Genomic DNA, 21,182 nt, shown 5'->3' on the forward strand with positions numbered 1-21,182 from the left:
GAAGATCTATGCTAGGAACATGGTCCAAATCCTGGTTGGACATTTACAGATGATGTAAGCAGGACCGAGCCAGGGGCACCATTCCAGAGTGGGAAGGGAGCAGGGGCTCCTGGGTTTCAGTCCTCGACCTAAGTCAGGAATTCCTGAGCCAGGAGCCAGGAAGTCCTATCAGACCTGGAAGGACCCTGTCACAAGAGGTGGTGGGGAGTCCTGTCCTCTCTGTACCTGAGGGTAAGGTACACTTTGCCTCCTTAAGGAGATCCAATGTCTCTCATTTCACAGAAGAAATGGGGATGTTTCTATTACATGGAAAGTGAAAGACAGCAACATCAAAGCAACACTTATTTAGGGCTATGGGCAAGACTGATGTCTCTCCACCCTGGAGAGCTTCCGCCTCTGAAGTGCGGAATGCGCCCCAGCAGCAGCTCTGCAAGGAACGAGTCCACATAGGGCTCTCAGCACCCGCTTCTGAGGCTGAGGACAGCCAGGCAGTGTCAGACATCTGCTGTCGTTAAGGCTCAGGATCCTGCAACTCTGCAGCCTAATCCAGCTTTCTGCGAAAGTTGGAACCTCTCTCTGTCTGAGGGTCCTTGGCTGCCGGCCACAAAGACGTGCGCTGTTGGTCAGCACCGAGGACAGCACTTGGGGGCGGTGCTCCGGGGAATTCCTGGGTGACGAATACCAGGACAGAAGGACCTTCTTCCCGACAGCAGGAAGGATCAGGCTGAGGGTAGTAGTGTGCCCGGGTAGTAGTGTGCCCAGGTACCCTGCAAATGTCATAGGCAGCTGACGAGCCCCTTCTCGTCATCAGCCAGGGTTAGGATTATCTAACTGCACCCTAGGGGCTAAGAGGCCAAAGACATGAGTGGAAGCCAAGGGAGGGTTGGGGGGCCAGATGACCTCCCTGGACAGAGAGATGCTATATGTTCCCCAGAATGGCAAGCCCTGCCCAACCAGCACAGACCAGCTCTGTGGCTCTACCTCCCGGCCCAGGACACACCTTCTCTCTCTGGCCTGCCTGCTCACACTCTTGACCTTGGGGTGCTGTGCTTTCCAAGGGCCCTTGGTGTGGAATGGAAATGCCTTTACTCATCCACCTTTAGTGGAGAAATCGTGAGAGCAGCAGGGGCCAATGCAAGAGAGAGAAGGCCCCACTGGGATGAGGCTGCCCAGTCCTGCCGCAGGTGCCAGCACGGCTGCTGCACTGGGGTAGAGCTCCATTCAAAGCGAAGCTCTCTGTTCCCAGCGTTATCGAGTGGTGGGACACTGTTCCCTCTTTGCCCCTCGAAGGGCTGCCCTCTGCTGACCACTTCCTGTCCCCCACCCACTAATCCTTTCCCTGCATCCTCTCTGATCCTCACAGCACCCTGTGGGGTGGGTGCTACTGTTGTTCCCATTTTGCAGGCAGGAAAGACAGAGAGGACAAGCGACAGTGAGTGGTGGAGCTGGGACTCTAACCCAGCTCTGTTTGCTGCTAGCATCCTTGTGTTGTGCTGCATGGCTCCAAGGGTTCTGTGGTAAGGTTCACACCACAGCTGAGCTCCAGGGCCTTCCTTTCTAGGTAGCCAGAGGCCATTTAGATTTGGAGCTGGGCACAGTGGCTCACGCCTGTAATCCCAGCACTTTGGGAGGCCGAGGCGGGTGGATCACCTGAGGTCAGGAGTTTGAGACCAGCCTGGCCAATATGGTGAAACCCCGTCTCTACAGAAAATACAAAAATTAGTCGGGCATGGTGGTGCGCGACTGTAGTCCCAGCTACTTGGGAGGCTGAGGCAGGACAATCACTTGAACCCAGGAGGTGGAGGTTGCAGTGAGCCAAGATCACGCCACTGCACTCCAGCCTGGGTGACAGAGTGAGACTCCATCTCAAAAACAAAACAAAACAAAACAAAAAATAGATTTGGAGGTCAGACCCAAATGGCCATGCTCGGTGCTAGGCTTACAAGGTTCCTGTGCCCTGAAGCTGAGAGTCCCTGGAGGAAGGCCCGTATTAATGCTCACATACTCACACAAGGCCAGCCCCTCCTAGCCTCCAGTGTCTCACCTGGTCTGTGAAGGGCATGACTGACAGTCGTGCCTCTCCCATAGCCCTGTCCAGGGTACTGAGCAAGGATCCCACTGAGAAGTATCTGGTCCAAGGTACATACTTCAGAAACATGACCTCCTTTCTGGCTACATGTTGGAGACCCAGGAACTCAGCCTGGTTTTTTGGACACTGAGTCACCAGCAGGTCTCCAGCCAGGGGCTGTGAAGGTTGAGCATGGGGGCCTCCCTGGCCACATGGGGCTGGCATCCCAAACTAAAAGGTGAGGGGGTCCAGGGGCACATGAACCAGAGGCAGAGAGAGATGGGGGTGCTGTGAGCTAACTTCAGTCCTAGCACTGCCACTTAACTGTCTGTGTGAACTGGGCCAAGTCCCTTGTGCACCTCAGAAGCAGTTTCCATGTCAGTAACAGGGGAGTAAACTGAGGGCACCTCTTTGGATAAAGGAGGAGGGAACACCAGGGAAGTGCCTGGCAATGGCAACAGAGCACACGAACACATGCACACACGTGCATGCACAGCCCCCCCCCCCAAAAAAAATACTCTTAATTAGCCCAGCAGTGCGAGCCCTCACAGACTGGGTTTTGAATGGTAAAAATAGTGGTCTGAGAGTGGTGAGCCCCTGGAGGCTAACGGCATTCCTCAGGAGGTACAGTCTGTGTCCCTCTCGTATGGGGCACATTGAGCCTCCTTAAGACAGTGCGGATGGTGAGTCCCTGAAGAGGAACATGGGGCCCTGTGGACCCTGCCATCTGCTTCCCTCATCTCCTGGGCCCAAACTGGCACTGGTCAGGAGAGTCTGTGGGGACTCCCTTCTCATCTCCCCTCTTTCCCTCCTCCTCTCTCTTCTAGAAAGAAGACAGAGGGAAGAGGATGCACTGCCTTCCTGCTAATGGAGGGGGAGGCTTGGGCACTCTCTTCTTTCTAGAGGTTGATGCGTTTGTCAGAATCCAACTTCTGTCCCTGCTCACAGATTAAATCACTCATTTCTAATTGGGATGGAAAGCTCCTGCATGGGTGCCACTGTGAATGGCATTGTTTTTCAACTAAACGGATCATAACTGATCAGGAAGGGTTCTCCACACTTCCAGTGCTTCCCGGAAGCAGCCAGTGGATGCCAGGTTGCGGGGGAGGCTTAAAGCAAAGGCCCCTAGAGAAGCCGCAAGAGGGTTTCCAGGGCCAGGTCAGACCGTGTTACCATACCCCATGCACATGCGGTGTGCAGCACAGGGCAGGCTCTCAGCACACACTTGCTGAACAAATGAGGGGGGTGAATTAATGAATGGAGGGAGGAAGCAGGAGCGGACATGGGAAATGCAGAGAAGACTCACATTAGTTTAGCCAGGCAAGATGACCCTCAGGTCCCAGAACACGCTCCTCACTGGGGAGGACAGGCAGCCATTTCGCAGAAGAGACAGCCTGAGGGGTTGGGAGGCTGGCTGCAGCCCATGGCAGGGACAGGCCAGAGCCCAGCCTTCTGCCTGGGCTTGGATGGGTCATTGTCAGGCCCCCAGCCATTCTGCCAAGAGAACTGGGGTTGGGGGAGGCTTCCTATGGTGACCCCAGGAAAGGAGCCACAGCTGGCCCTGGGGGTGGCCCCTAAACCCCTGCCTGGGCTAAGGGATGGGAGAGTAAGCTTCTGCCTCATCCCAGGGCAGAGGGTGGCTTTGCTCAGGGAGCATCCTGCAGCTGGGCTACTGCTCCTAATTTTCACGCCTTGTGTGACCCCACCCTCGCCAGCCCTCCTTGAGGGCAGTGGGGCAGCTGAGCCTCTCCCCCATGCTCTGGGGCTGGTTTGGTGGAGGGGACCACACCAAGGGGCTGTGGATGCTGAAGCGAACTCCCAACTCTACTTGCAGCATAGCTGACACCGCGTGATGAAGCCAAGAGCGCAAACTGAGGCCTGGTCAAGCTGGGGAGAGGGCACAGGAGACAGAAAAGGATTCTTTCAGAGGGAGTGGGAGCGGGACAGGGAAAGAGGAAACAGAAGCGGATGTGGAGAAAGAATAATCCCGCCCCACCGAGGACTGTGGGGTGCTATGGGCTGCTCCACAGGGTGCATGTCTGTGCACGTGTCTGCGAGGGCACCTGTCGGTGTCTGGCGTGTGTACCCAGAGTGCAAAGGTGGCATACTCAGGCGCACTCGGGCACCCCCTGCAAGACAGCAGAGCTTGTTGGAATCTCTGGAACCCAGAGCGGGGAGGTGCTTGGCCTTCTTTGCTCCGGTGAGTCCCCACAGACCCTACAGGCCTGTGGCACAGGCACTGACCAACCAGGCCACAGGGAGTTGATGAGACCCTGTGACACCTGAATGCACCTCAGTGCACAGGTGCCTCCCAAGCATGCCCTGTGTTCATTCCCATGTTGGCCTTTCAGAGAGGAATGTTCTACCCATTTTACAGAGGACAGGGGGAGACCAGTGAGATCAGTTTTCTAGTCCCGTATTGCCACAAATGGGAGGCTGAGCCAGGAGGATCCCTTGAGCCCAGAGGTTCGAAACCAGCCTGGGCAACATAGGGAGACTCTGTCTCTACAAAAAATTAAAAAGTAGCCTGGTGTGATGGTGCATACCTGTAGTCCCAGCTACACAGGAAACTGAGACAGGAGGATCACTTGAGCTCGGGGAGTCGAGGCTGTAGTGAGCTGTGTTCACACCACTGCACTTCAGCCTGGGTGACAGAGCGAGACCCTGTCTCCAAACAAAAACAGTAACAACGAAAAGAGACTCCTGGGCTGTGCTGCAGGCTCTGGGAGGAAGCAGCAGAGGGGCCTGGGCTCCGAGGGCTTTGAGACCCTGGAGAGGACCTGGGAGTCAACACCTGTCCTCCTCCTTCACTTGCTCCAGGACAGGGTGGAAGTGTAGGCATTTGGGCTTCAGAGGCCAGGCGGAGTCTGGAGCAACCCCAGGCAGCAGAGTGGCCCCACTCCAGGAAACTCCTCCAGGTGAGCCCACAACTGACCACAAGGCTTGCCCTGCCCCCATGTGCCTTGGGCAGAAGAAACAGAACAGTCACACCGGTAAACAGGAAGTGGAAGGGCGAGGAGGAGCCCAGTCGTGAGTCACTGTAATTTAAACACCCAAGGCAGACAAGTAGCACAAAAGAGGAAACCAACACATCTCATGGAAAACACATTCAGGGACCCAGAGCTAATACAACAAACAGAATAAGACTTTAGAATAAGTATAATTAATATCCACAGAGAGATGTGCGTAAATAGGAAGCCAGAACATATTCCACTGCAAATCTTGACAGCATCCAGATTGGAAAGGAAGAGGTAAAACTCTCTGTTTGCAGATGATGAAATCTTGAATATAAAAAGTACTAAGGAACACACACACACACACACACTCACAGCTAATAGCAAGTTCAGCAAGGCTGTAAGGTGCAAGGTGAATATGCAAAAATCGGTCATATTCTATACACTAGCAATGAACAAACTGAAAATCAAATTAAGAAAACAATATAATTTGGAGGGACACCATAACAAAATGCCACCAATTGGGTAGCTTATGGGTAGCTTACAAATATATTGTCTCATAGCTCTGGAGGCCAGAGGTCCAAAACCAAGGTGATGCAGGGTTGGTTCCCTCACAGAAGGCCGTAGGGGAAAGCTCTGTCCCAAGCCTCTATCCTTATTTCTGATAGCTCCTTGGCTTGCGGCAGCAAAACCCCAGGCTCCACATGCAGTTCTCCCTGTGTGCCTGAGCCTGTGTCTGTGTCCAAATTTCCCTTTTAATAAGGACACCAGTTACATTGGATTAGGGCCCACCTTGTTCCAGGGTGACCTCATTCTAAGTCAATTATTTGCATCTGTAGTTACCCTATTTCCGAATAGGGTCACATTCTAAAGTACTAGGAAGTGAGACTTCAGCATATGAATTTTGGGGAGATATAGTTCAACCCATAACAAATTCTGTTCACAAGGGCATCAGAAAGAATAAAATATTGACCGGGCACTGTGACTCCCAGCACTTTGGGAGGCCAAGGCAGGAGGATGGCTTGAGGCCAGGAGTTTGAGACCAGCCTGGGCAATATAGCAAGACTCTATCTCTACAAAAAATATATACATAATTAGCTTCTCAGGAGGCTGAAGCAGGAGGCTCACTTAAGCCCAGGAGGTTAAGGCTGCAGTGATCCGTGTTGGCACCACTGCACTCCAGCCTGGGCAACACAGAAAGACCCTGTCTCAAAAAAATTAAAAGACTGAAAATTTATGAATAAATTTAACAAAAGAAGTGCAAAACTTGTACACTGAAAACTATAAACACAGTTGGGAGAAATTAAAGAACACTTAAATAAATGGAAAGACATCCACATTCATGGATTGGGAGACTTAATATGGTTAAGACGGCAATACTTCTTAAAGATCTCTGGGTTCACAGAATCCATATCAGAATCCCAGGTGAATTCTCTGCAGAAAGTTACAAGCTGTTCTGAAAATTCATATGAAAATTCAAGGAACCCAGGATAGTTAAAAAAATCTTCAAAAAGAAGAACAAAGTTGGATGACTCACAATTCCTGATTTGAAAACTTACTACAAAGCTACAATAATCACCAGGTGTAGTGGCTCACAGCTACAATCCCAGCACTTTGGGAGGCCGAGGCAGGAGGATCACTTGAGTCCAGGAGTTCAAGACCAGCCTGGTCAACATAGGGAGACCCTGTCACTAAAACTAATTTAAAAAGTAGCCAAGTGTGGTGGTGTGCACCTGTGGTCCCAGCCACTTGGTAGGCTGAAGAAGGAGGATCGCCTCAGCCAGGGAGGTCGAAGCTGCAGTGAGCTGTAATCCAGTGCCACTGCACTCCAGCCTGAGTGACAGAGCAAGACCCTGTCTCAAAAAAATAAATAAAATAAAATAAAATAACTTTTAAAAGAACACCAAAACAAGCCAGGCTTGGTAGTACATGACCATAGTCCCAACTACACAGCAGGCTGAGGCAGGAAGATCACTTGAGCCCAGGAGTTGGAGGAGTCGTATGCAATGATCACACGTGTGACAATAGCCACTGCACTCCAGCCTAGACAACACAGAGAGACCTTGTCTAAAACAAACAAACAAACAAAACCCAAATAGAAATTACCAACCACTTAGAAATGGGTGACAGAACAGAATATTCCACTTTTTAAACTTGTGAAATGTTTCAAAGCAATATCCACAGAAAATGTAGAAGCCTTAATACGTTTATTAGAGAAAAGGAAGATTAAAAATAAATGAACTACTATCTTAGTTCAAAAACAGGAACACTAACATTAAAATAACCCAATAAAGTTGAATAAAGTGATTGATAGAGAAAAAAGCAAGGCTGAGTGCGGTGGCTTATGCCTGGAATCCCCCTACCCCTCACCTGTGAGGAGGTGGATGGATCACTTGAGCCCAGGAGTTTGAGACCAACCTGGACAACATAGTGAAGCCCTGTCTCTACTAAAATACAAAAATTAGCCAGTCGTGGTGGCGGGCGCCTCTAATACCCGCTATTTGGGAGGCTGAGGTGGGAGAATGGCTTGAACCTAGGAAGCAGAAGCTGCAGTGAGCCAAGATCGTGCCACCGCACTTCAGCTTGGGCAACAGACCAAGACCCTACCTCAAAAAACAAACAAACAAACAAACAAACAAACAAAAAAACAAAAATGAAAAAACAGAGAAAAAAGTAGAAAGTCATGAAATAGAAATAAATGGGAAAATTAGAAATTCAATAGGAAAAAAACTCACCCTCAGAATGGAGTGATGCTGTGAGTTTCGATGGAAGCAGGTGAGGCTCAGGGGTTTGCATGAGCGTTCCCAACCTGGGTAGTGCAACTTGGGCAGACGGTCAGGAGAAGAGAGAAAACACAGACAGATGATGTGGGGAAAGATGAAGTGGGTGAAGGAAATTAGTCTTCGTGGCCCAATATGTATGAGGAAAGCTTTGAAATCATAGGCATCATGGAAAAATGTATGGAAAAAATACAAATTATCAAAATGAGTGAGAAAACCCCAGTAGACTTAAGAACTACAGGGAAGGAAATGAACAAGAGAACACAAGGTTTATCGTAAAATGCAGTGTCATTTTTTCAGGCAATGTGACTTTCTACACTGTCTAGAAAATTGAACTAACAAACTATAAGAATAATTAGGACAAATTCAACTATGTGGCAAGATCTACACAAAGCCCTCCTAGCTATCAGCAATGATGAATTATAACATAGAAAAGAAAAATGTCATTCATGATAGCAACACTGTTACAGCACATAGAGGGGAAGCCCAACAAAAAATGAGCAGTACCAATGTGGAGAAGACTATAAAGTGTAGCATGTATTGCACGAATAGAGATATACTGTGTTCCTCAATGGAAGATTGAACATGGTACAAATGTCAGTTTTCCCCTAAATTAGTGTAGAATTTAAATTTGGCATCAATTACAATCAAACAGGATTTCCGCTATAAAACTGACAAGCCAATTAGAAATAGAAAATGTACAAAAAAAGACAAGTGTGAAAAAGAGAAGAATGCAGCAGAGATTCTCTGTGATACACAAAATATGCAATAAATGATTTTAATTGAAACAATATATAAAAATAAACATATAGCCAGCCTGGACAACATTGGAAGACCCCATCTCAGCCTAAAATAATAACAATAATAGAAATCATCTAGGTGTGGTGGTGTGCACACCTGTAGTCTGAGCTACTCAGGAGGCTGAGACAGGTGGATCGTTTGAGCCCAGGATTTTGAGGCTACAGTAAGCTATGATCACGCCACCACACTCCAGCCTGGGCAACAGAGTGAGACCACCTCTAAAAAAATTTAAAAAAATAATAATAAATAACATTTTAAAAAAGAATAAATATATAAAATACTCACTTTAAAAAAGAACAGTGTCCTGAAATAGGCCCATGCATTTAGTAACTTCCTATAAACTAAAAGAATGTGAAAATATAGGCTATTCAAAAAATGGTTCTGGGTTGACTCACTATATTTGTAACATAAGATAGAGAGCTATCTCACAACACTCAAACAATCCAGATGATGTATTAATCTAAACCATTGTAAGAAAATTATAAAACCTTCAACTCATAAAAAAAGAAAATTATAAAACTTAAAGAAAATATGCAAAAATATAAGTGAAGAAAATATAAAAGGATATATATTGAGGTAGAAAAGTCATTTCTTTTTTGAGATGGAGTCTTGCTCTGTCGCCCAAGCTGGAGTCCAGTGGCGCAATCTCAGCTCACTGAAACCTCCCGCTCCCGGGTGCAAGCGATTCTCCTGCCTCAGCCTCTCGAGTAGCTGGGACTACAGGTGTATGCCACCACCCCCGGCTAATTTTTGCATTTTTAGTAGAGACAGGGTTTCACTACGTTGGCCAGGCTGGTCTCGAACTCCTGACCTCAAGTGATCCACCCACCTTGGTTTCCCAAACTGCTGGAATTACAGGCGTGAACCACCACACCTGGCCAGCAGAAAAGTCATTCTTAAGACATGAATTATAAAAGCTACAAATGAAAGATTAATACATTTGACCACATCAAATTTAAAACAAAAATGTTCTATAGAATAAAAGACACTAGGCAAAGCAGGATAGCTCACACCTGTAATCCCAGCATTTAGGGAAGTTGAGGCAGGCAGATTGTTTGAGTCCAGGAGTTCAAGATCAGCCTGGGCAATATACCATCTCTACAAAAACTAGCAAAAAATAGCTGGGCATAGTGGCATGTGACTATAGTCCCAGCTACTCAGGAGGCTAAGGTGAGAAGATAGATTGAGCCCAGGAGGTTGAGGCAGCAGCGAACTATGATGGCACCACTGCACTCCAGCCTGGATGACAGAGAGAGTCCCTGTCTCAAAAACAAACATACAAAGACACTAATTGCAAACCTAAAAGGCAAGTTACAGTGTAGAGGAAACATTGGCCACAGCTATACCAGGAAAAACAATCCCTGATACACGATTAAGGAAAATTCAACAACTAAGTAGGGAGAGGACATAAACAAGCAAATCAAAGAAGAGGAAGCACAGGCAACTGGGATCCATGAAAACATGCGTAATCTCAAGACACAAGACACATTTTTCACTCGTCAGTTTGGCAAAAACTGTGAATTATGAAAATGTTTAGGATTGGTGGGGTGTAAATAGGTGCAGCATTTCTGGAGGGCAATTCGTCCATAGCTACTAATGTCCCCAGTGTCTAGCAACATGGAAAAGTGTAAATAAATGATCCCTATTCGGCAGTTTAGAAATGAGGTCGTCCTATATGCATTAATATGGATTACATTGCTAAGTGGAAAAAGCATGTCACAGAAGCTTGAATCCATGGGACACTTTTCATGTCATCCATTTGTGTTAACTCACAGATGAAGCTCAAATTACACAAAAGTGAATTAAGCAGAAGCCCTCAGGAGGGACGTACACTGGAGGGTTGCCCTGTCATCTCCAGGGAGGGCCCCAGGCTTGGTAGCGGAGAGCAGGTGGCCTCACGAGGACTGCTACTGCATTTGAATGATCTCCCTGCTTTAATTGACAGAACAGGTGTGTGTATTGTGCATACAACGGATTCCTGTGCTGTCTTCTCAGGTCACAGAATCCCAGGGAGACATAAGGAAGAGGCGAGGACTCAAATGCTCTGCCAATCATTGGGAGTAACTTGTCCCTAGGGCAGAAGAAAGAGCTGCCCTCTTCTGTCCCTAAAAACATGTTTCTCTTCCTTAATAATATCACGGGGTGGGGGGGAGCAGGGAGAGAGAGACTGAGCAAGAGGGAGGCGCCGGAGTCCCTTTCTGATTCTGAGACAGTAATGCCCAGGTTTTGCACACCATGCTGTCCACTTTGCCAGCAGGACTGGGTGGCATGGCACTTCTGATAGAACGTCTGCTGTCTTTCTCCAGATTCCATTCTGTGCCCTTCTGCGAGGTCGAAGCTGGTGCTTCCTTGATCATACCAGCAGGTGTCAGCAGAATGTTCTGGACACCATCCCAGACGCTGGCTTCTTCCTCGTGGTCCTTCAGTGGTTTGTTGGAAACACTGAGGGCTGGGGTCGTCCAGTCAGGTTCCAGGTGAAAGTGTGCAGAATCACCTGCCGCCCGCCCAGCTCCTGACTCTGAAGTGCTGAGAGTGAACACAGCTTCAGAACAGATGAAAGGCACTGCTTCTCTCCCATCAACTCCACACACCCAGTGATAACAGAAAAGGGCAGTCCAGTCTTCTAGTCACCCTTCGATGTGATGGGGCAGCTGCAACCCAATTTTAGATGCTCCGAGAGGTTAAATCAATTCCCCAGGGCACACAGCCATAAACGGCAAAGACAGGACTTGAAGTCGAGACTGTGGTTCTGAATAGTGCCCTGTCTACACTACATGACCAAGAGGGCATTTCTGGAGGGCTTGAGGTTGCGTGTGTCAACCCCTGTGAATCGCAGGGTGACCAGGAGCAAAAGGCTTGCCACAGCTGAGACCCCCCAGGGTCTTGCTCTGGGCCTTCCCCTCCCTGGACCAGAGCAGCCCCATCTATGAAAAGATCATGCTGTACTCTAGGGTATCTGAGAGCCCCCGAGCACCACGGCTCCATGACTAAGAAACTCCAGAAAAAAACTGTGAAGTGCGGCTTCACTTCTCTGCATCTGGACTCAGGATGCGCCTCGTCCAGCCTGAGGACCCTGGACTTCATGCCTGGCAAAAGGCTGTGCCACTGAGGTTTCCTGAAATAACACTGCCCAATTCGGGGACATGCCCTACAGTCCTCTGGATCCAGGGAACACCTGTGAGCAACAGCCTCTGGGCTTGGACAGCCGATCCTGCCCCTCATGTGGACGGCTGGCCCACTCCCCCAAAGTCCCCGATCCTAGAGGGAGAGACAGAAATGGGGAGGTCTGGGTCTGTCCAGCAACCAGGATAGGCACCTCCTTCTTGATCCTGGAGACAGGCTCAGGGGGTGAGCACAGAGGGGACTTCCCAGGGTCGAGAAACTGCTTCCGGTGAGGTGAGAATGGATAGATCACCTGAGGTCCTGTGGTTACCCCACCCACCCGACCTGTGGTCCCCCTACCTCCTGTGGTGACTCCACCCCTTCCTGCATCCACCCAGCTCCTCCTGTGGACACACCACATCCTCCTGGGGACATCTCATCCGCTCCTGGGGACACCTTACCCCCTCCTGGGATCCTCTCACCCCCTCCTGGGGTCATCTCACCCCCTCCTGGGGACATCTCACCCCCTGTGGTCACCCACCCCCTCCTGGGGTCACGGTCTCCCCACCCCCTCCTAGGGTCATCTCACCCCCTCCTGGAAACATTTCACCCCCCTGTGGTCACCCACCCCCTCCTGGGAACATCTCATCTCCTCTGAACACCTCACCCCCTCCTGGGGTCACCCACCCCCTCCTTTGGCCCTCCTTGCCACTTTCACTGACCTCTCAAGCCCGCAGCCTCTGTGTGGTCCCCTGAGCACCCCGAATCCCTGTACCTATAGGTAGAGCTGGACTCCAGGGCACTCTGGCTTCATCCCCTGCTGGGCTCAGCCCTGAGATCCCCCCGGAGGACTGCAGCAACCCTGAGTTGCTGCTTGCCTGGCCCCACAGCTCTGTGGAGCCGCTCCTCTCCTCCTCACAGGGCTCTGAGGAGGGACCTAAAAGGCGAGTGGACAGCCAGCCATGGAGGGTGCCACTTGCTGGGAGTCCCTGCCATCCCTCCCGGCTATTGGGGGCCTGCCTCCCCTGTTGACAGCAGGCTGGGGATGGGATGAGCTTTGGCAAGGAGGTCTGAGTGGCCATGGCCTGGGCACCCCCAGGAAGAGCTGAGGGGCCGGATTTTGGGCTCCCTTCACTCCTCACCTCCCACAAGCCTTGCAGGTCCCATTTGTGGCTTCTGCATCCTAAGGCCCCGGCTGAGGGGACTCGCAGTAGACGGTCCATGTGGGTAAGAAATAGTCCTCTGGGTCACAGTCTCTGAGATCTGGGCCCCTTCATTACAGCAGCACGTCTTAGCCTGAGTGGGCTGGTGTCAGACACAGCGAGTGGCGGTAAGTGTGGGCCCCTCACCATCTCCCCTTCAGGGATGAAGAGGGCCTTGTGCCAGCAAAGTGAGTAAGAAAGAGCAGTCCCTCAAGAGGAGAGCAGGGAAGGGCAAGGGATGGCCGGGCCGAGGGCAGTGGCTGGGAGCCACCGAATGGAAAGGGGCGGGCAGTGGAGGGGGCGGTCATGAGGCTGGGAGCTGTGCCAGTGTCCAGCAGGCCGCACCCCTCCGCCTCCTCTCACCCCTCACAGGAAGGTGTTAATCCATACATCCGGAGACCCAGAGAAACCAAGTAACATTGCATTCCTGGCTGTGTTTCTTTTTTATTTTCTGTTTTGGGGATTTTGTTTTTGGAGTTTTTTTGAGACAGGATCTTGCTCTGTTACCCAGGCTGGAGTGCAGTGATATGAACATGGCTCACTGCAGCCTTGAACCCTGGCCTCAAGCAATCCTCTTGCCCTCAGCCTCTCAAATAGCTAGGACTACAGGAGCACATCAATACACCCAGCTAACTAGTATTTTGTGTACAGCTGGGTCTCACTGTGTTGCCCAGGCTGGTCTAGATCTCCTGGTGTCAAACAATCCTCCCACCTCAGCCTCCCGAAGTGCTAAGATTATAGGTGTGAGCCACCACGCCAGGCCTGTGTTTCAGTGCAAAATAATATCATTACATATCTTTCAAATCTCTCCAGAATGATGAACTTTTGCAGGTGCCTCATTTGATGAGGTCAAGGATCCCATCTTAGATATGCAGGCAGAGGCCATGCCAGCTAGTACAAGCCTAAGGCATGTAGAGGTAGACGGCATGGCCGAGGGATCATAGACTGGGTGCACTGGTCAGGAGTGGGTGAAGTAGGTAGAGCCTATGGGGGGGAGGGCGCAGCCACATAGAGAAGTCCTGTGTCCCCACTCCTGCCCCAGGCTCCTCCACAGGTGTCCCAGCAATGGGCAGGTTGGTAAGAGTCAGGCTGGGCTTTTTACGAGGAGAGGTAGAGACATCTTCGTGGCCTTACCCTGGAGGAGAGAGACCACCAGCTGGTGAGAGACTGTTGTGCTGGTACTGCTGGGGAAGCCTGCACTCCACCTAGCGTTAATGAGAATAGTGTCTCCTTGGAGGCACAGGGTAATCTCATGGGGGACAATTATCTCAACAAACGTGAAGCCCAGCCACAGAGATTTGAGTGGAAGGAACACAGATTTCTGCTCCTGTTAATTTCATGCTTGACTTAACCGTCCTTACGTGATTGTGGCACTGGTGACAGTGCACTGGAAACACTTCTTACTCTTCTTCCCCAGCCAAACCTTCTCTTTCTTTGTCCCAAAGATTTGAACTCTTGCTTTTGACTCAAGTTCCCTGTCTTAGAGATTCATGGGCATCATTGTGGGAACATGTTTATTTTGCCTCTCCTGGCTGGGTGTGGTGGCTCACACCTGTAATTCCAGCACTTTGGGAGGCTGAGGTGGGTAGATGGGTTGGGCCCAGGAGAAGACCAGCCTGGGCAACATGGTGAAACCCTATTTCTGCAAAAAATACAAAAAATTAGTTGAGTGGGTGGCACGCACCTGTAATCCCAGCCACTCGGAAGACTGAGGCAGGAGGATTACTTGAGCCAAGGAGGTTGAGGCTACATACAGTGAGCTGTGATCACGCCACTGCACTCCAGCCTGGGCGACAGAATGCAATCCTGTCTCAAAAACAAACAAACAAACAAAAAAAACCTATAATAGTAGGTGCTCAATAAACGTTTATGTTTTAAAAAGGAATATCATGATCATCCACACTTTTAGAATGATGAAATTGAGGCTTGGGAGAGTAGGATGTTTGCCCAAGGCCATTCAGTGCATAGGTGGCAGAACAGGAGTGGGAATTCAGATCCCTCAGACCCCAAAAGTTGAAATCTGCCTTTGCAGGTGGGAATAATTCCACCCCTCCTCAACAGCCACATTGGACTGAAGATGGGAGTTAGGGAAAGAGGCATTTGGGGAGGACATAAGTAAGAACTTGTCAGCAGGATGGGCTACATGGTTTTGAATAGACTGTGATTTAGGCTGCACATTGATCTAGGAGCTCTTGATTGCATTTCCAAAGGTGGTCACGTATGCTCTTTCCACGGTATGACCTGGATACACCTCCATCGAGAGGTGGAGTCCAAGTCCCCACCCCTTGACCTGGGTGGCCCTCAATAACTGCCTTAACTCATAGCGTATGGCTTCTGAGACACAAGGCCACACAGCTTTGTCGTGGGCCTCTCTTGGGGCAGGCGCCTTGGGATCAACTGCAGGTGTGAAGCCTGGCTGCCCTGAGGCCACCATGCTGGGGAGGCCACATGGAGACTCTGCCAGAGATAGTGATGCAAACACCCTCTGAGGCGGGAGGATCACTTGAACCCAGAAGTTCAAGACCAGCCTGGGTAACATAGAGAAACCTCATCTCTGCTAATAATAAATTAGTTGGGCATGGTGGTATGCGCCTGTAGTCTCAGCTACTGGGGAGGCTGAGATGGGAGGATCGCTTGAGCCTGAGAGACGGAGGCTGCAGTGCGCCGTGATCAAGACCCTGTCTCTAAAAACAAACAAAAAAATCCTTTAAAATACTCTCTCGACTCTATTTTTCTTGTGCCTCTTTTTGCTCCCATTTCCAGGAAAATATGCTCAAAAATTCATCTACTTTCATGGTCTATACTCACTCCCATCCCATCACTCTTGAATCTATTCCAAATCATTTCCTCAACCAAAACTGGTCTTGTAAGGCTTCAGTGGCCTCCATGACAGCCAATTCTTTTTTTTTTTTTTTTGAGACGGAGTTTCGCTGTTTTCACCTAGGCTGGAGTGCAGTGTTGCAATCTTGCCTCACTGAAACCTCTGCCTCCCATATTCGAGTGATTCTCTTGCCTCAGCCTCCCGAGTAGCTGGGGCTACAGGCATGCGCCACTACACCTGGCTAATTTTTGTATTTTTAGTAGAGACAGGGATTCACCACGTTGGCCAGGCTGGTCTCGAACTTCTGACCTCAGGTGATCCACCCACCTTGGCCTCCCAAAGTGCTGGGATTACAGGCGTGATCCCACAGCCTGTGGGATTACCCAGCCCACAGCAGCCAATTCTAGAAACTAATCCTTAGTTTTCTATGATGACGTAGCCTATCATGACCTATCTGTATGGGCTCACCCCTGCCTTCCTAAGCCCCTCCTTCCCCTATGTCCTCCTCCTCCACAGCCCCTCCTCGGCCTCCTAACCTGTCCCAGGACACCCCTGCCCTGTTCCCTCCCCTCAACCCCCTTTCCTGGTTCCCCCACCTCCCACTGGCGTGCCCAAGACTCAGTCCTCGGCTCCGTGCCTCCCTCTGCATCTACCTACTCTGTGATCTGTCCCTCTCTGGCACTGCAGACACAGTGTGGGTGCTATCAGGTCCAGACTCATACGTCCAACCTGGGCCTCGCTGGCTGGAACCAGAATCCCAGCCACCTTTGGGTGATGATCTGTGGCCGACTGCCACTGCTACTACTTGAGACTGTCACTACAACAATTACTACTGTTACTGCCTAAGACTGTCATTACAGTAGTTACTACTGTTACTGCTTGAGACTGTCATTACAAGACGAACGTAGAAATGATAAAAGACAAAAGTAACTATTTTAAGGAAAGGCTAGCATGGGGAAGAAGAAGAGAGAAGAGAAGAAAAGGGCTCTCTGCTTGTATTAAGCAAAGGCAGCCGTCTGAGCTTCTACAGCCCTTCGTATTTATTGGGTAACAACAGCAAGGAGGAGGAGGTAATGATTGGTCAGATGCTTAATTGATCACAGGTTCATATTGTTACTAACAAGCTTCAATTATGTCTAATCATAAGAAACATTTGTGCAGCTTCCAACATCTCCTCCTTTTTGTTTTTAAATTAATTGAGCAAGGCAATTGCAGGCTGTGCAGCCCTTAATTGCGAGTTGGTGATCCAGCTTCATTTTTCTTAGCCCTTATTCAAAATGGAGTTGCTCTGGTTTGAATGCTTCTTACATATTTCCCCCTTCCCTTTAACAAGAGGACCCTTAATCCTAAGGGTTGCAGAAAGATGAAGGTCTCTCTTCTGCAACTTCTTCATGCTGAACAGGGGCGAAAATATTCTTGCCTATTAGGTTCTCTTGTATTCAGGGTAGAGAGGAGCTCAGTCAGAAAGCATTGGTCCATTAAGGTACAATCGATGGATTGTACCTCTGAGTTCCAGCACAAGGTAAAACCCTGGCACTCCAGCAGTTTCTCAGCTTCCTGTGTGGTTTTCTTGATCTGTCCCCATGTCACGGGGGTTGGTGTCAGCGTGACTCTGGTTGGTCCTCGTTCTGTTTTCGCATTCAGATTCAACTGGCTCATTGCTCATACTGGGGGAACCAGGCCTGTAGTTGGAATCCATGGGTCCCTCCAGTCTCCCTTTCCATGGTTGCACACATCTTGACGGCACCCACATGGTTTGTTCATCTCCTGCAAAAACACAAGCATACCCTCGACCCCACATTAGTAAATCTGTAAAAGCAAAGGTTTTTGTGGCTGTAGCCAGGAGGCATGCCACTGCTGAAGCAATTGTAACTCAGCTTCTGCCTCTTTAGTCAATTGCCATGGGGTAAAACTTTCCACTGATAATGAAAGACAGGCTCTTTCTGATTAACAGAAGACACGGAAAAAGCAAATCGAGGCTTATCCTTCTCATAAACAATCCTCAAGATCTATTACCACAAGAGACCAGTCTCTTGCTCCTGTATCCATAAGCCCACAAAACTTATTTTCTTCAATGTACACTGCACAATTGGGTCTATGAGATGCTATGGGTTGTGATAGATAAATTTATCTCCTAATTATACCTCCCCAATCCCTGATCTCCTTACTTCTTACTTAGAGAAGGGTACAATTTACAGGAAATAAGCAACAACTGAGCAATACGCTCTCCTGGTTCAAAAACCCAAAGATCTTGTGACATTACCACTACCTGAATTTCTCCTTCACAATCAAAATCAACAACTCCTGGACCTCTAAGTTAAGATAGCTTTTACCAAAATCAGTCCCATGTATATTGTTGGCAAAGGTCCCCAAATACCAACGGGAATCTTAGTGAGTTTGTTTCTTTCAATTAACATAATTTTTTCTCTAGGAGAGCTAATCCTGCATTTCCAGGTGTTCCTGAGGAGAGGGAATCAATGTGCCTCTGGAAACCCACCCCTGAAACGGAGTTGTGGCCTGGACGGGGAATGCCCTCATAGTTTGAAGTGCCTGGGTCCAGGTCCCCTTTTCGCTTCCCGTGCCATTTTGATGAAATTTTGAGTGGCATTGATTAGCCCAATGATTTCCTTTATTGCAACGAGGGCAAAGTCCTCATGTTTTTTCTGTGGAGAGGGGAACCGTGTTTTAAGATCCCTTCTGCCCAGAGGTCTGGCGGTGTTCTTTTTTGAAACATCCAATTTTTCTACACTTGACATTGTGTAATTGACATTGTGGACCTCCCAAGTAGAAAGCAATTAAGCACCAGCGGTAGAACACAGGTTAGTCTTAAGACCACGTGATTAAGCAAGTTAGTTAGATAAACTCCCTACACTCCTTTGTTTCTACCCTAATTTATTTAACTAAAGGTAAAGGGACTAGGCTGCCTTCAGCCAGATTTATTACCGAAGTTATGCAAACTCTCAGGCCTTCCAAGAGGGTTTGTGGCTATTATAACTAAAATTTTTCCCACCAGCTTGACTGAACCCCCACATCTCTCCCTTTTTTGTTTTCTGCATCAGGTCTTTTGCATTGGAGACTGCAGATGTGTGCAGCAACAGGTTTGTCGGGCATGGCAGTCATTGCTCTTATTCCAGCTTTGCATCCTAGAATTAGCAAATAACATAAAACAATCATGAGTACAATTTGCAACATTCAGTTCCAGTCAGAGTGACCTCCAGGAGTGGGGGTCTAACCAGGAGAGATGATTTTGCACACCTTTCCATATGGCTGTTTGTTGGGTGTGTAGATCTATGGTGTGAGGGGATTCTAAAATTTTTGTTTTAAGTTGCTTTATGTCTGCTGTTAAATTGTCATGAAAGGTTCCCCAGAGGTGTTGTTTCACCTCATCTCAACTATGTATAGATTGATTCTATGGTAGAGAAGTGACACAGATATGTTTATGCTCCCAGTCACAGTTTAATTGCTGTCGGAATGCCAGTGCATCTTGTCGCTCCCCCACGTATTCTAAAGCTGCCTTGTGGGCTTGCAGACGTGCAAGAATTTTTTGATCTATACCTTGCTGTAAGACTTCATTAGACACATTTTTGGCCAGATTATCTACAAAGGCAGCTGTTTGTACTGACTCAGTAATAGATGCGAGAGCAACGCGAGCAGTTGCCAGGATGACTATGGCTGAGACTATAAAAGCCATAAGTGTAACTATGAATCTTTTGTGTCTGACGTGGGATAGGGTACGTTCTACATTCTAAGGTGACAAGGACAGAGGAACCTTGCCAATCATGAGTCAGATTGACTGGTAGGAATGCCTCAGATTGTCTCCTTAATATCACGACACTAGTAATTTTTAAATTAGATATATTGTGGTGATACATGAGGCAAACCAAGCCTGTCCCTGCACCCGGGTCACAAACGTGGAGTTTTGAGGTGTAATGGAAATGTTAGTTCCCATAAGGAAAACATATGGATGGGTAGAGCAAATCAGGCACTGATCAGTGTGATTATGAATAAAGGTTATGGTATAGTTGCGACTGGATTTATGACATGTCCCATGCCAGGTGTTAAGGGAGGTGCTAAGATGTCCCAGGTGCCATAAGTTTCACTGGGGTGGCATGGACTTTACTTAGGGTCTGGGATATCTCATCCCCCCATCAGCCCAAATTATAGGGGAACGAGACGTGGCTTTGAAACTGTGATTGATGCTGTGATGGATGAAGACATTAGTAAGGCTGCCCTACAATCGGCCATGGGGGCACCAGTCTAAGATGTTATAATTGCCTAACTGGAGGCTATGGGCTTGTCTCCTGTGACAGACCTCCCAGCTAAAGTGGAATCCATTACTTTCCTGGCTTTGTTCTTTAGCACAGGAAGGAATGTTTGGGAAAGCGGTGTTGATTGCATTGCCCAGTTTGAGGCTTCCTGCAGCTAAGAATGCTAAGGCATTTCCTTCACAGTGATGTAGCCATACTTGTTTTGGGGCAGGTACACAGTAAGGGTTAGAGCCTTTATAACTTACACACAGTGGGAGGATAGTGGAGTGATATGTAATGTTATCTGGCATCTTAGTCCAATGTGTGCCATTATTGCGGGACCTCACTGGCGGTAAATCTATTCCTCCTAACTAAGCAGTCACGTTATTATAGGCTGGGAAGGGAGCGTCTGCCCAGGTGACAGGGCAAAAGAAAGGTGGGTCTAAGATATGAGTCCAATACAGTGTAGTAGCAGGTACAGGTTGCAGACAAAGTGAGAGCATAAAAAGGATTAATACCCTATATGAGATGCAATGTACAACAGAAAGCATAGCAAGAAATAAATTATCTGGAGTAAATGGTGTTTGTGTCTGGAGCAGGATTCATTCAGCCTCCTGAATTGTCCTCTTCAGCATCCCCCAGGTAACATCCAGGACTCACGTCATCCGCGGAAGCCACATTGTCCAGGGCTGTGGGTCTTGCAGGGTTAACTCCTTTATTTCTGGTACCGGATTCGGTCCTAGCTACACCATGGTATGGTTTGATGCATCATGCTGGAATCCAAAGAGGACCTGAGGGGGTGTGGACACAAGCATACCCTCTTCCCCACGTTAATAATTCATTTGGACCACACCATTCATTACAGTTCACATCTTTCCATAAAACTGCTGGTTTTATGCCTTGAGAGGTTTTATCAAAGTGCTTTTCTACAGCTGATTGAATGAAATTTGTCATCTAAATTTTTAAAATTAAGGGTAAATAAGGCTTGTGCCAATAGTGTTGCAGGGTCTTTACCCATACTCCTCCTTTTTTGTTTTTTGAGCATATTTTTAACAGTGGAGTGGGCACATTCTACTATTGCTTGTCTTTGGGGATTATATGGGATGCCTGTGGAATGTTGGATATTCCACGTGTGACAAAATTGTTGAAATTGTGAGGTGGCATAAGCCGGACCATTATCAGTCTTAATTTTTGCGGGTTGTCTTAT

General features: G+C 48.6%; 6 annotated features.

Annotated features, from left to right (window-relative positions):
• Window positions 337-861: an enhancer, noted in NCBI's record as "H3K4me1 hESC enhancer chr10:43778224-43778748 (GRCh37/hg19 assembly coordinates)". NCBI's record gives its function as "activates a minimal SCP1, AML or CMV promoter by ChIP-STARR-seq in naive H9 embryonic stem cells {active_cell/tissue: H9 hESC(naive)}" and the evidence as "EXISTENCE:reporter gene assay evidence [ECO:0000049][PMID:30033119]".
• Window positions 3,395-3,903: an enhancer, noted in NCBI's record as "H3K4me1 hESC enhancer chr10:43781282-43781790 (GRCh37/hg19 assembly coordinates)". NCBI's record gives its function as "activates a minimal SCP1, AML or CMV promoter by ChIP-STARR-seq in naive H9 embryonic stem cells {active_cell/tissue: H9 hESC(naive)}" and the evidence as "EXISTENCE:reporter gene assay evidence [ECO:0000049][PMID:30033119]".
• Window positions 11,258-11,759: an enhancer, noted in NCBI's record as "H3K4me1 hESC enhancer chr10:43789145-43789646 (GRCh37/hg19 assembly coordinates)". NCBI's record gives its function as "activates a minimal SCP1, AML or CMV promoter by ChIP-STARR-seq in naive H9 embryonic stem cells {active_cell/tissue: H9 hESC(naive)}" and the evidence as "EXISTENCE:reporter gene assay evidence [ECO:0000049][PMID:30033119]".
• Window positions 11,760-12,259: an enhancer, noted in NCBI's record as "H3K4me1 hESC enhancer chr10:43789647-43790146 (GRCh37/hg19 assembly coordinates)". NCBI's record gives its function as "activates a minimal SCP1, AML or CMV promoter by ChIP-STARR-seq in primed H9 embryonic stem cells {active_cell/tissue: H9 hESC(primed)}" and the evidence as "EXISTENCE:reporter gene assay evidence [ECO:0000049][PMID:30033119]".
• Window positions 17,200-17,249: an enhancer, noted in NCBI's record as "active region_3287". NCBI's record gives its function as "activates an Ori minimal core promoter by ATAC-STARR-seq in GM12878 lymphoblastoid cells {active_cell/tissue: GM12878}" and the evidence as "EXISTENCE:reporter gene assay evidence [ECO:0000049][PMID:35858748]".
• Window positions 17,280-17,379: an enhancer, noted in NCBI's record as "active region_3288". NCBI's record gives its function as "activates an Ori minimal core promoter by ATAC-STARR-seq in GM12878 lymphoblastoid cells {active_cell/tissue: GM12878}" and the evidence as "EXISTENCE:reporter gene assay evidence [ECO:0000049][PMID:35858748]".

Source organism: Homo sapiens, chromosome 10 (genome assembly GCF_000001405.40).
Source record: "Homo sapiens chromosome 10, GRCh38.p14 Primary Assembly".
Classification (NCBI taxonomy): Eukaryota; Metazoa; Chordata; class Mammalia; order Primates; family Hominidae; genus Homo; species Homo sapiens.